The sequence below is a fragment of the Homo sapiens genome, chromosome 13 (assembly GCF_000001405.40).
Source record: "Homo sapiens chromosome 13, GRCh38.p14 Primary Assembly".
In the NCBI taxonomy this organism is placed as follows: domain Eukaryota; kingdom Metazoa; phylum Chordata; class Mammalia; order Primates; family Hominidae; genus Homo; species Homo sapiens.
In genome coordinates this window covers 111,594,526-111,607,785 of record NC_000013.11, presented here as the reverse complement: position 1 = coordinate 111,607,785, position 13,260 = coordinate 111,594,526, and the positions used below count along the sequence as shown (strand labels likewise).

At 47.7% G+C, this 13,260-nt stretch overlaps 1 long non-coding RNA gene across 1 annotated transcript in view; it reads right to left on the bottom strand.

The window, feature by feature from the left end:
- The window catches only part of LINC02337 (long intergenic non-protein coding RNA 2337), a 46,071-nt gene extending 34,294 nt beyond the window's left edge, over positions 1–11,777 (bottom strand). The window contains exon 1 of the long non-coding RNA NR_135814.1: positions 11,739–11,777. This is a non-coding gene — a long non-coding RNA (long intergenic non-protein coding RNA 2337). The remainder of the gene's footprint in view (positions 1–11,738) is intronic.
- Between the last annotated feature and the right edge of the window lie 1,483 nt (positions 11,778–13,260).

Sequence of the window (13,260 nt, the reverse complement as noted above, 5' to 3'; positions counted from 1 at the left end):
TATTTTTAGCCTAAACAGCAGTTGACATTTCAGACAACACTATTATATCATCAGTAGCTTTCTTCTTTACCCATCGGGGCGTCTGTAATTATGTCATAATTCATATTTAATTGTTTCATCTGAAGACTGTTATCTCATTTCTTCATGATTGTCTTATTCTGGCTGTTTATATTTTTTCCTATTCACAATGTCATAATTTTCAGACTAAAATATTGAGCGTAGAAAATATAGTTTTGTTATAGTTGATATATGTATATGATTTAATTTTTAACTTTTTAAGAAAATCAAAATATAATAAAAAAATGTCTTGTGTCTTAACTATAGATTCCATCTGAATGCTTTAAAATGTCATCTTGCAGTGGGTATGTATAGCTATAGTTCCTTGTATAACAAATATTAAACACTTTTTTACAGGGTATGCTGTCAACTACTATTATAAATATTTCCAAATAAAAGAATAGAAGAAATTAAAAGACAGTCTACAGAAACTATAGTTTCTTGTGCACACCGAAGAACTAAAACCCAACATTTCCCCTGAGAAGTCAAAGCTCAATTGAAATAGCCTTCTTCTTTGGTAAGTAGTCATTTCAAAATTGTAACATGAATAGTTTTATACAATCATTTTGTGAAATGCAGAAGGACCATTAGCCCACAGTTTGGCCTTTGTTTAGACCTAACACTGGAGGAAAGTGAGTTTCAGTGAGGGAGAGAATTGCTGCCTTCTTGGTGAGAAAGTTTGATGAAGAGGGAGTGTCTCTTTTCGGGTTCTGGAACAGCGGCTGAGGCTGAGGTCATGGGATTGATCCATGCAAATCCATTTCTACATTCGGAAAACAACTTGAAATGATTCTTATTGATAAGTGAGTGCCAGTTCTCATTGAAAGAAGAGGGTTACCGAGGCTTCGTTCTAGTAAATGTTTCTGCAATGGGGGACAGAGGGTCAAGAGAGCCCTATGGGACAGTGTGTGACAATTTCCAGGGTGCAAATACTTCCAGAGTGGTTGATTTCAAGCCAGCATTGTGACATTCTTAAATGCCAAGGAGAGGAAAGGAGAGGGAAGGGGAGGGCAGGGAAGGGGAGGGGAGGGGAGGGGAGGAGTGCAAGAGCATGCCGTTATGCATGCAGCAGAGGTGCCACATAACACATCTAATCACCCCAGGAGCATGAACAGCAGTAAGGTGTAGCACACACACTAGCATAAGTTTTAAGAATGTGTTGCCTTTGTTTTTCATATCAGTTAAGTGTGCATTTAGAAAATTTTAATAATAACTGTGTACAACGAGGGGCTCATAAAAGTCCTGGAAACCCAGCAGTCAGTTCTCACGAGCTTTTGGAGCCCCCCAGCACTGCCATTTGGTGCCTCTCACCCTTAAACATGCCTGGCAGTCAAAAGGCACCAGGAATTTGAGGAAACATTGCTAGTAAGAAAGAGACCAAAACAAACAAACAAACAAAAAGAATAAACAGCAGAAAGAAACCTAGGCAGAGATCAGAAAAAATTTAAGCAAATTTTAAAATAATGAAACATTAATAATGTCAGAGAAAAGAGAAGATGCTGCACCTTGGTAACAAGAATACCCAAAAGTTACATTAAAAAAAAAAAATGGGCAAGGACTTCATGACTAAAACACCAAAAGCAATGGCAACAAAAGTCAAAACTGACAAATGAGATCTAATTAAACTAAAGAGCTTCTGCACAGCAAAAGAAACTACCATCAGAGTGAACAGGCAACCCACAGAATGGGAAAAAATGTTTGCAATCTACTCATCCGACAAAGGGCTAATATCCAGAATCTACAAAGAAGTCAAACAAATTTACAAGAAAAAAACAACCTCATCAAAAAGTGGGCAAAGGATATGAACAGACACTTCTCAAAAGAAGACATTTATGCAGCCAACAGACACATGAAAAAATGCTCATCATCACTGGCCATCAGAGAAATGCAAATCAAAACCACAATGAGACACCATCTCACAGCAGTTAGAATGGCGATCATTAAAAAGTCAGGAAACAACAGGTGCTGGAGAGGATGTGGAGAAATAGGAACACTTTTACACTGTTGGTGGGACTGTAAACTAGTTCAACCATTGTGGAAGACAGTGTGGCGATTCCTCAAGGATCTAGAACTAGAAATACCATTTGACCCAGCCATCCCATTAGTGGGTATATACCCAAAGGATTATAAATCATGCTGCTGTAAAGACACGTATGTTCTTTATATGAACACGTATGTTCATTGTGGCACTATTCACAATAGCAAAGACCTGGAACCATCCCAAATGTCCATCAATGATAGACTGAATTAAGAAAATGTGGCACATATACACCAAAGAATACTATGCAGCCATAAAAAAGGATGAGTTCATGTCCTTTGTAGGGACATGGATGAAGCTGGAAACCATCATTCTCAGCAAACTATTGCAAGGACAGAAATCCAAACACTGCATGTTCGCACTCATAGGTGGGAATTGAACAACGAGAACACTTGGACACAGGATGGGAACATCACACACTGGGGCCTGTCGTGGGGTGGCGGGAGTGGGGAGGGAAAGCATTAGGAGATATACCTAATGTAAATGACGAGTTAACGGGTGCAGCACACCAACATGGCACATGTATACATATGTAACAAACTTGCACGTTGTGCACATGTACCCTAGAACTTAAAGTATAATTTTAAAAAAAGGAAAAAAATGAGTTCTTAGAAATAAGATAACTGAAATTAAAAATATATGACTGAAATTAAAATTTTAATAGAAAAATTATTATCCTATTATACAGAAATTAGAGCAAAAGTCAACAAGATGCAAAACAGAGATAAAATTTTAAACATTAAATGATCTATACAAGAGAGATACTATTTGATTAGTACAAGTTTCAGAGAGAAGGAATAAAGAAAATGTCGATGAGGAATTTATAGAAGAATTCAGGAAAATTTTCCAGACTGAAGAATGTGAGTGCCTAGGCTGCAAAGGTTCACCCACATATAAATAATAGAAATAAGAAAGACCAGAGTTTTACAGCTTCTAGGTACTGAGAGCAAAAGAAAACCCTTTTCAAAAGCTTCCAAGGGAAGTGGGGAGAGGAAGAGTCCATCACAAAGGACCAGGAGTCACAATGGCGTGACATCGCCCCACCCTGGAGCCTCAACAATGAGGACCACACCTTCAAAACCTGAGGGGAACTATTCCAGATTTAACTGTCTATCCCCAACCAAACCCCCCAATTCAGCATGAAAGTAGGAAGTAAGATCATGATTTAAATTGCCATTTTCCACACACGCCTTCTTCAGAAAGTTAGTGAAGTCTCTAATTCACCAAAAGGCAGGCAAAACTATGAGTGGGCGAGACGGGGTCTGCTTGGTTTTATCTAAAAGTTATCAGACACGCTTCCAGTGACAACTACAGCCTCAGTCCCATTGCCCGAACAAAGGTAGATCAAGGAAATGAGGTCGAGGGCATGGAGTGGCTCAGCCATCCCAGGATGCTCCAGGAAGGGGCGTCCGCAGTGACAGGGCCGGTCCAGAAGAGGCAGCATCAGTCCAGGAGGACGCGGTGGCATCGCCGAGAAGGGATGAGAGGGCGAGTTGATCTAATATTTTGTATTTAAATTCCAAGAATTTAAGGATGAATTCGTAAAAAATATGCAGGAACTTAAGCAAATTGAATGAAACAATTATTAACTCCAGGGAAAACAAAAAGTTGTATAAGGAAAAACCTCAATCATTGGCTGTTACATGACCTGGCATAAATGGTAGGTAGAAGTAAAGACTATACATAATATAAAGACAGTGTTATCAATGTGACAAGTCACCAACAATCCACACGGTGTGGCCCAGGGTCATAGCTTCATCTAAAAGTTATCAGAGACACCTCAATGACACCTGCAGCCTCGGACCAGTCACCCTAACAAAGGTCTTTACCGTCAGGCACTGCTGCCCTCTTTAAAGGATCTGTTATTAGCCTTTTTGCCCAAGTCACACAGAGTTATGAACCTCAATCTAAAGGAGTTAGTTTGTTTTGGTGACACACAAGCTACTGTGACAGTCCTTTGAGGGGATTTTTGAAAAGGGCAGAGGAATTTGAGAGCTCCTCAGATGCCGCCAGGAATTCTTCTCTGTGAAACCCATGTTCCTGATGTTCAAATTAGCACCCATCTGGAATGTCACATCCGCCTCTGCTTAGACGAGGAATAGTGAAACCTATAGTCATGATAAAGATCATTCTTGCTTTTCCTTGTGTAGAAAAGAAGGAATGCTACCAGCTGAACTCCCACACAAAGCCATGTGCCAGGGCCAACAGGTGATACTTCAACAGCATCCAAAGAAGGTTGTAAAATTAGCAACCCTACAAATGAAATGTTGACTTCAGGGACCTAATGTTTTAGCTGGGGAAATAAATCCCCATGAAGCTAGCTTTCCAAAACAAGATTTTAAAAGGCCCACAAAATTACCACACCCCTCTCTGAACAGATTCCCAGGGAGCCCCAGCCCCTCAACAACCTCCCCTCCATTGTGACATTTCCGTTGTGAGGCTGTGTCGCCGCTGCGCGTCATCACGTGTCGATGGAGGCATCGCAATGCAACAGCCAAGTATCGGATCCGGCCTTCTTCAGCTCTCTGTTGTCTCCATCAGCTCCCCTGGGGGCACTGTGACATTTCCGCTGTGAGACTGTGTCGCCGCTGCGCGTCATCACGTGTCGATGGAGGCATCGCAATGCAACAGCCAAGTATGGGGTCTGGCCTTCTTTGGCTCTCCGTTGTCTCCGTCACCTCCCCTGTGGGTGCATGGGATGGGCTGTGAAGGGCTGTCTCAGTGTGCGGCAGGGAGTCAGGGCATCCAAAGGTCCAAGGGGACTTACTGAGTGACCTTGACCAAGGCCATGGAGCCCACTGCCTTGGGTTTTTCACTTGCCTGGGCAGGTAGACACACTCGGGAGGAGGTAGCAAAAATGATTCCTGAGCTTAAGTCAGCTATTACAAGGCTGTGTCTGGTTCTCCAGCTCTAGAGATGCCCAATGCACAAGACTCCCGATGGAAAGAGAATGCCGATGGAGTTGGGCTGCCAGGCCTTTTCTCCTAGGTTGCAGCACTGGTGGAGAGGAGAGGCATCTGGAGGAGGGGAGCCATGTCAAGCGCGTATGAGCACACACCTTCTCTCTCGGGTCCTGGGTTCCTTTTTGAGCCGTGGATGAGAAAATGAGAGGCGTAAACAGGACTGATTTCAAACGTTCTGCCTAACTATCATGGCAAAGAGAAGGAAGTCATCCCCTAGAGTGATGAACTAGCTTCTTCAGAACTTTCTTGGAATGAGAAGAAAATTTAATTAATCCAGGGTTATTAAATGGATTATTACTAATTATATTATTAAAATAGAAGAGTCAGTCTTTATTGCAATTTTTTCCTGGGAGACAGGTGCAGCGTCTTCCAGTGAAGAAGATGTGGCAGCCGCAGGGGCACAGGCGTCTCTGTACCTGCAGGACTTGGCTCTGTAGCCAGCAGTCACAGCTCTGGCAGAGCAAATGTGGTGTCCGAGGCCACAGAGGTCCCAGTCAACATTTGTCATGGTTGGCAAGACTCACAAAAGAAGAAATCTGAGTAGATGATGTGTGGTTATAGGAACGATTCGGGGAGCCACCGTTAATGATTGAGACCACTGACTTTTAAATTACATTTAACTGTAGTTTAAATTTATGTGACCCCAGCACAACATGATTTTGCTCTGGAGACAGTGTTGAGGCCAGAAATTAATTCTCCCTAGTGGACTGTCAAAGTGAGTATATAAAAGATAGAGTAAGTCAGTCAGCCCAACAGTGAATGCTGCTTTACTCAACCTGTTGCATTATTTTTCATTACCGTTATATATTATCTGATCTCTGCAAGCACCGAACATAGATGTAACTTCAGAAATAATTCATTTATCAAATATATTCAAAATAATAGAACAGTCATTGTTTTCAAATAGTATACTAATAGTAGTTCATTGAAATGATCAACATTTGAACCACCTTCAAATTAAAAGAGCCTTTGCAGACGTCTCCAAGAGTGTCTGTAATAAAAGAGAGGCAGGGCTTTTCCCAGGGAGGAAGATGAAAGCTCAGACTAATGAGGAGTCTTTGTTTGTCTCCCCATGATGAGTTTCATTTTTATGGTGACAAAAGGGAAAGCCTGCCTGTGATACCAGGATAAACAACCTGTAAATACAACAGTCCATTTGCTTTCACGGTTTCCAGATTTCTTTCCCAAAACGCGTGTGGCTGAGATGATGTGACTTAATGCTGTTGGCAATTTCAGAGCAAAAAGAAAAGTTTCCACGTGAGGCAGGTGTTGCCGCACAGTCTTGTGGGCAGGACGGGAGCATGTCTCTCCCCAGCATCTCAGCACCTGCTGTACGCAGAGATTGTGACTTTCTGATGAGATGTGCACTCACCTGCACTGGTACATCTAGACTTATTGCACTGAAAAGTCTAGAGTTTCTTTTAAACTATCAGCAAAGAGTTAAACATGGAAATCCAGGAGGAGCCCTTTACAGAAAGACATCAGCCTGAATGCCATGGCCTGATAACTTATAAATCATTAACTTAATGCTAAAGGTGTGAAGTTATTAATGCCTTATTAAAAGATGACTCTGTTTTCACTGGCCATGAACTCTTTTTTACTTTTATTTTTTTGAGATTGTCTCACTCTATCACCCCCAGGCTGGAGTGGGGTGGTGCGATCTCGGCTCACTGCAACCTCTGCCCCCAGGGTTCAAGTGGTTCTCCTGCCTCAGCCTCTTGAGTAGCTGAGATTACAGGTGTGTGTCACCTCGCCCGGCTAATTTCTGTATTTTTAGTAGGGATGGGGTTTCACCATGTTGCCCAGGCTAGTCTCAAACCCCTGCCTCGGCCTCCAAAAGTGCTGGGATTACAGGCGTGAGCCACCACTCCTGGCCTGCCATGAATAGTTAAGGCTATCCCCAAACATATTAATCACACTGCCACAAATCTAGAATGTTCCAGGCGTGGTTTCTGCCAAATGAACTTCCTCTTTTTCAATCTGCCTGCTGACCAATGAATGCATCAGGTCATCAGTCATTCAAGCCCCCCTGTACTTTGTGTAAGCAGAGTGCGTTTCCGGGGGCCATGCCACCCATAATTTCTTATGCCAGTGTCCTCATCCTCAATTCGCATTTCTAAGGTGTTTCCCACACAGGGAAGGGTCCTTTCCTGATCCTCCCAGGCTTCCTCCGGGCGACTTTCAAATGCATCCCACCTAAGGAGGATCAGCAGCACCCCACCTGCTGACTGGGGCCACGGAAGCACAAGATGTGGGAGACATGAGGGAGGCAGGGCCTCCTTGCCACTGCTGTTATCCTCTCTCTTCCTCACTCTCTCTCTGCCTCTCTCTCTCTCCCCCTCCCCCAGCCCCTTGTCTTTACCTCCTGCATCCAGCCGCATGAAGCCCTGCTCCTGCGTCTTGGTCAGTGGCTGCAATGGCTTCCAGGCCTGTGTTCCCGGCTCTGGACACTTCCCCTGAGCCCCTCCCCATGTGCCACCATCACTGGAGCAATTTTCCTGGAAATAGGATTCGGATGCCTGAAAGTCGACTGCAGGTCCTCCTGGCTCTTCCAGCCGACCCCTGCTGGGCTTCCTCCCACCCACTCCACTTTGCCACAGAGTCACCCTCCACCCCACTGGCCCTGCCCATCACTCACACAGCTCCCTGTTTCTTCCCCACCACAGAACTTACTTGTGTTCCTGGACACACCACGTTCACTCCCGACCCCCGGGAGGTTGTCTCTCCACTAGGAAGTCCATTCCACACCCGCCAGGAACAGACCCAGCCTGCCACCCCCGAGCCCTCCCAAGGCCACGCCTGCCCCTTCTCCCTCACACCACTGTAGTCGTGCTGTGACCTTGGGGCTCCTTCTGACCTCTAAGCTTGTCCTTTCTGTCACTGGCTGCACACCATGCCATGTCCCTTATGGATGTACAGAGTCATGGGACACCGCCCCCGCTGGGTGGCCAAGTCCACGCCAGGAACGCAGATGGGCTCTGCTAATGTGGGCAGCAAGAAGGGACCAGCAGAGGCTGATACTGAGCCTGGATCTGTTCTGCGAGTGTCCATCTGAGCGTGCATGGAAGGAAAGCATTCATGCTAGGAATGGATTCCCAAAGGGACCACTTTCTCACCTTTCCGGCTGGTTTGAAATGTTTTGAATATTTTGAAAGATGCTTGTAGGCCACACCTTGCTGACTGGCAACAAATGTGTGGTGTCCTCGGCGAAGATCGATGATTCAAAAGCAGCTGTCGTGACATGGCACTGCTCCCCACCAACACACCGATTAAATAAACATAATTCCTTACCATCTATTTCATTATGTTATTAGGAGGGACTTGGATGGAGCCCTGAGTGTTTGGCTGTCTTTTAACTTGGATGGAGGCCTCACAGCCTGAATTTTGACCAAGCCATGGGCACACTTTCCTTGCAAAATAAGTAATACTTAAGTCCAGTTAACATGCTACACACTAAATACGCGGTGAGATATCGGGGCCCTGTGTGTTCTACATAAGAAGGGCCAGCCCTGGATTGCTTTTGGAGCTGTGCCCACGCCTTCACATTCATTATTCATTTGATATCACAACATTCGTTTTCCATGTAAAGAACAGAGGTCCAGAGAAGGTAGTGCCCCTGCAGGCTCACACAGCTGTGGAGAGCAAAGCTGGAGGTCCCCCGCCTTCTGCTCACAGACTCACGCCCTCTCCACCATCCCATAGCCCCTACACAATATCAAGCCCCACTGCAGGAAATGCAGCTTTTTCTAGTCCACGGTTGACCGAGCCACTCCTGTTTCCAAGCCCTTCTGCCCACCCTGTTCTAGGAAGCGCCTCCTACACAATGCCCAGACAGGAAATTGCCAGGCAGAGATGCTTCAGCTTCAGAGCTCCAGGTTGGAGGGAGGGAAACTCAGCCACAGGCAGCCATGAGCACGTGAATGACAAAGTCACCAGCTCACCCACCTGGTCCGTCTGAGTGTCAACTGAGCTGGGCAGGTAAGCATTTAGAAAATGCACCCTTAGGCAAAAATCCACAGGTGTACTTATTAAGAGGATGTCCTCAGACCAAGAAAACAGTATCAACCTCACCCAGTCTGCATGTCCTTTGCCACCAGGGACAAGAAGAAATGAAATACCTGACCTTAGGGGCTTCATCATCCCATGCCAAAAGCACTCAAGTGGGGAGAAAACCCATCAGCACTGGTTGTGACAAGATGTGAGTGTCCGGGCCCTCCTGCCAAGGGAAGCGGGCCAACTGGGACCCGGGGTGGGTCCAGGTCCATGCTGTGCTCAGCCTGCTGCTGACCCATCACAGCCTCTTTGATGGGGTGAGCCCCCCAGGTGCACGGTTAACGTGGAATATTGATCCCATCCATTTGCATGTATCTGGCAGCAGTGAATGGGTAAATTGACAACTCTGTTATTTGACTCCGGGAAGAATGTAACAGGAGCATCTTCAGGAGCACATCAGAAATATTTGAAGCCAACATGCCTGCCCCTGAGAACAGGGCCATATGTCAGGATATTTTCAGGGTATATGAAGTTTGGAGCTGCTGCTTGTAAGTGCATTGACCCCTTCTCACCATTAAACACTAACGGGGACCAGGCTTTTGTCAACAATAACTCTAGGAGGGACTGGAGAGCAAGAGCAGGAGAGAAAGGAAAAAGAATGGAGACCACACGTGTGGAAGAAAGAGCGAAGAGGAAAACAGAAGGGAGAGGAGGGCGGGAGCTCAGGGTTGTCGGTGACAGGAAAGGAAACGCGCCACCCTCCCTGCAGGAAGCCACCCTGGTGCCTGGAGGAATCTGGAGAGCCAGCCCAGAATGTGGAGGGTGCAGGGCCTCAGGGGCACGCAGCTGACACCTCCCGCAGGGTCACGTCAGGGGCTACTCGGAGGACGGCGTTTGGGGTGATGGCAGCATCACTACCTCCTGCACCAGGAACTGTTCCCAGTGGCCTCATGTTACCAGACAACTGCTCGAGGCCCAGCTTCACGCCATGGGGGCATCACTGACACCTGCTCCGTCAGCCTACATCCACAGTCACTGGTGACTGCAATCAAAATTAATCATAAAACCCTTAAAATGGCTGAATCTCATTCCTCCCAGGCTGGATGAGAGTGAACAGGGGACGGGGGCCAGCACCAGGGCCAGTCCACCTCCTGGAAATCACTAATTGACAAGGAGCCGGGTGCCCCTTGACAGACCTCTGTGAAGCAAAAGCTTCTATTCCCAGATTCAATGCAAACCAAGCCTGAGGCCAAGGATTCTGGACAGGCAGTGGAGCATGTGGCCAGGGCGGTTTATTCTGGGGGCCGGCGGAGGGCCAGCCTGCTCCGCCTTCATTCTGGGTTCATGCGGCCATTCCCCCTCGGTTCCGGGAGCATCCACAGATTGCATATCAGTGACATCGCCACAAATGTAATGAGCAGAGGAAATTGATGGCAGCTCAAGTAAATTACAGTTTAAAAGACAAGGGAGGTCCCCAGAGACGGCCAACAAAGGGGAACTCAGCTGACCAGGCCCAGGTAAAATTGAATTGGAAATGTTCCCTGCCTGATTAGCATGACAACAGTTCCAGTGTTTAAAGAAAAAAAAAAAAGTCATTCTCTTTAAATGAAAAGGAGGGGGCAGAAGCCCATCTTCCCACAAACACAGTTATCTTTAATAATGTCCAGTCTAAGGTAGGTCAGAACTGCGCTATAAACAACATTCTGCAGAGAATGGGCTCTTAAATAATCCCCTCTCAATCCACATATTTTCCCTTTTTATTTGGACAGGAACTGACCTCTTTATATATGTGTGCAGACACAAACAGATACACACACATGCACATATAAAATTTTCACTTTAGGGAGGACTGAAGGTGAGCTTGGCCTGTAGCTACTAAGAATTGAATTCTCTTTCCATTTCTTGCTTCCACAGGGAGCCTGGGGTCTCCCTCCCATCAGTGTGGGTCATGCTTTCCCTTCACAGACATATTTCTTCCAGTTTGGTGTGATGGAAACAGCTCTGGTTGTAAATATTAGCTGGGAGTAGGTTTAGCTGGAAGTAACAGCAGCAAAACCCTGAGGGACAAGTGACTTCAACCCAACAAGAGCTTATTTCTCCTCCCAGGAAGGAGCGCAGAGCAGGAGGGCCAGGGAGGTCCTGGGGCATCAGAGACCAGGCTGCTCCCTCAAGGGATGCCTCACGACCTGTAATGGCATCTGTCATGCTGGTGCTCCCAATGGCTGGTAGGCACAGCTGAGGGATGAAGAAGAGCACATTTCATGCCTTTCCAGAGCTGTTCAGGTTTGATCTTATGAGCTAGAAAGTAGGCACGTGGTCGACAGCCACTGCTGCAGAGGCTGGGAAATGCAACCTTTATCGTGGACAGCTCAGCTTGAATTTGGGGTTCTGTGACCCAGGGAGACAGGGAAGTGGACATGGTGGCCCTGCCAGCACACTCTCCTGCAGTGTGAGAACTAGAGAACATTCTCTCATGCTCACCGAGTGACACGTTCCACCAAAGCGTCTTCATACGAAAAGGGGAAGACCGTCTGCATGGTCCTGAAGCGTTCCCCAGAACCCCTTTCTCAACCGGTGTCCACCCGACCACAGCCACATCCACGGCACTCATCCACAGATTCTCCCCCACCACGGAGCTCCACACCCTCTCCTGCCCTACATCCCTGTGCAAGCCCTGTTTCTTCCACCTTAGAGATGGCCCCTCGCTGCCATCGTCCTCCACACGCTGCCACCACAGCCTGGCTCCTGCTTCCTAAAGGTTCATCACCACTGCTCCCCACAGGCAGGCCAGAGGGTGGCCCTGACCTGGGTTTCTATGACACTTCGTCTCCCGCTTGTTTAGTCAATAGTTATGGTCCTGTGACATGCACTCAGCTCCACCTGGGTGCTAATAAATAAACCTGTGTGATGCCAGTGCAGAAAGCAGGTCATGCGGCAGGCCTGGAGCTGAAACCCGCAGGAAGGCCTGCAAGGGTGGCCCTGCGCTGGCATCTGGGAACCTGGGTTTTGGAAGGGTTTCCACCATTCTCTGCTAAGAGGGGCTCTTTGTGCAAACAGTGTGGTTGATGTGGAATACCTGCTTTCCTTCTGGGAGTCTGGAATCTTGGGGTGTGCTGAGCAGACGGTGCCTGTGTGACAAGCCCCCAATAAAAACCCTGGACATGCAGCCTCTAAGGAGCTCCCCTGGTAGAAGACACTTCATATCACACTCACTTCAATGCTGTCACGCCCCCCCCAGTGCTGTCACGGTGCAGTGCTGTCACAGTCCAGTGCTGTCACTCACTGCAGGAAAACCCTTCACATGCTGTCAACCCCCTCCAGTGCTGTCACACCCCCTCCAGTGCTGTCACACCTCCTCCAGTGCTGTCACTCACTCCAGTGCTGTCACACCCCCTCCAGTGTTGTCACACCCCTCCAGTGCTGTCACACCCCCTCCAGTGTTGTCACACTCACTCCAGTGCTGTCACACCCCCTCCAGTGCTGTCACACTCACTCCAGTGCTGTCACACCCCCTCCAGTGCTGTCACACTCACTGCAGGGGAAACAAAGCACATCCCTGTGACTACACTAGGAGGGGGGCCTGGAAGCCTGTGCCTGTCTCCCCCACACACCTTCCCTCTTTGCTGAGTGTGCCCTGCATCCTTTTGCTGTAAAAAGCCACAGTCGTGAGTGCGATGGAACCCTGGGTTCTCTGAGTCCTCCTGGAGAATCATAGAACCTGGGGTGGCCTGAGGGACTCCCGACAGTCCCTATCCTCAGAGAATTCACAGGGGAGAGTGTAGGGTGACAGACGCCACAACACAGTGACCTAAGTGTGAGTCGTGAGCTCAGTGTTGTTGGAAGGTGAGATGGAGACTCGCTGGGGATAGCGAGTTTGCAGGTTGGGACGGGGTGGTCTGGAGGGTGGATGGGATGGAGGGGAGACTTAGGCCAGAGGAGCAGCAGGCCCAAATGTACCGTGTTCAAACACAAGGTGCATGGGAGCCAAGCCTGATGGAGGCCTGCAAACATTTAGAGTATCTAGAGGGTAGGGCACATGAGAGCCGTGGCAGGATGAAGGAGATGGTAAGCGGGGCAGTCCTGCCGCCCCTCCCTCACCAAGCTGAGGCACCCAGGTTGCACACAGGGTTCAGATGGTGGCACCAGGCATTGTACTCCAACGTGGGTGGGCAGGGGGGCGCACATGGTGGGAAGGACCACCAGCCCCTG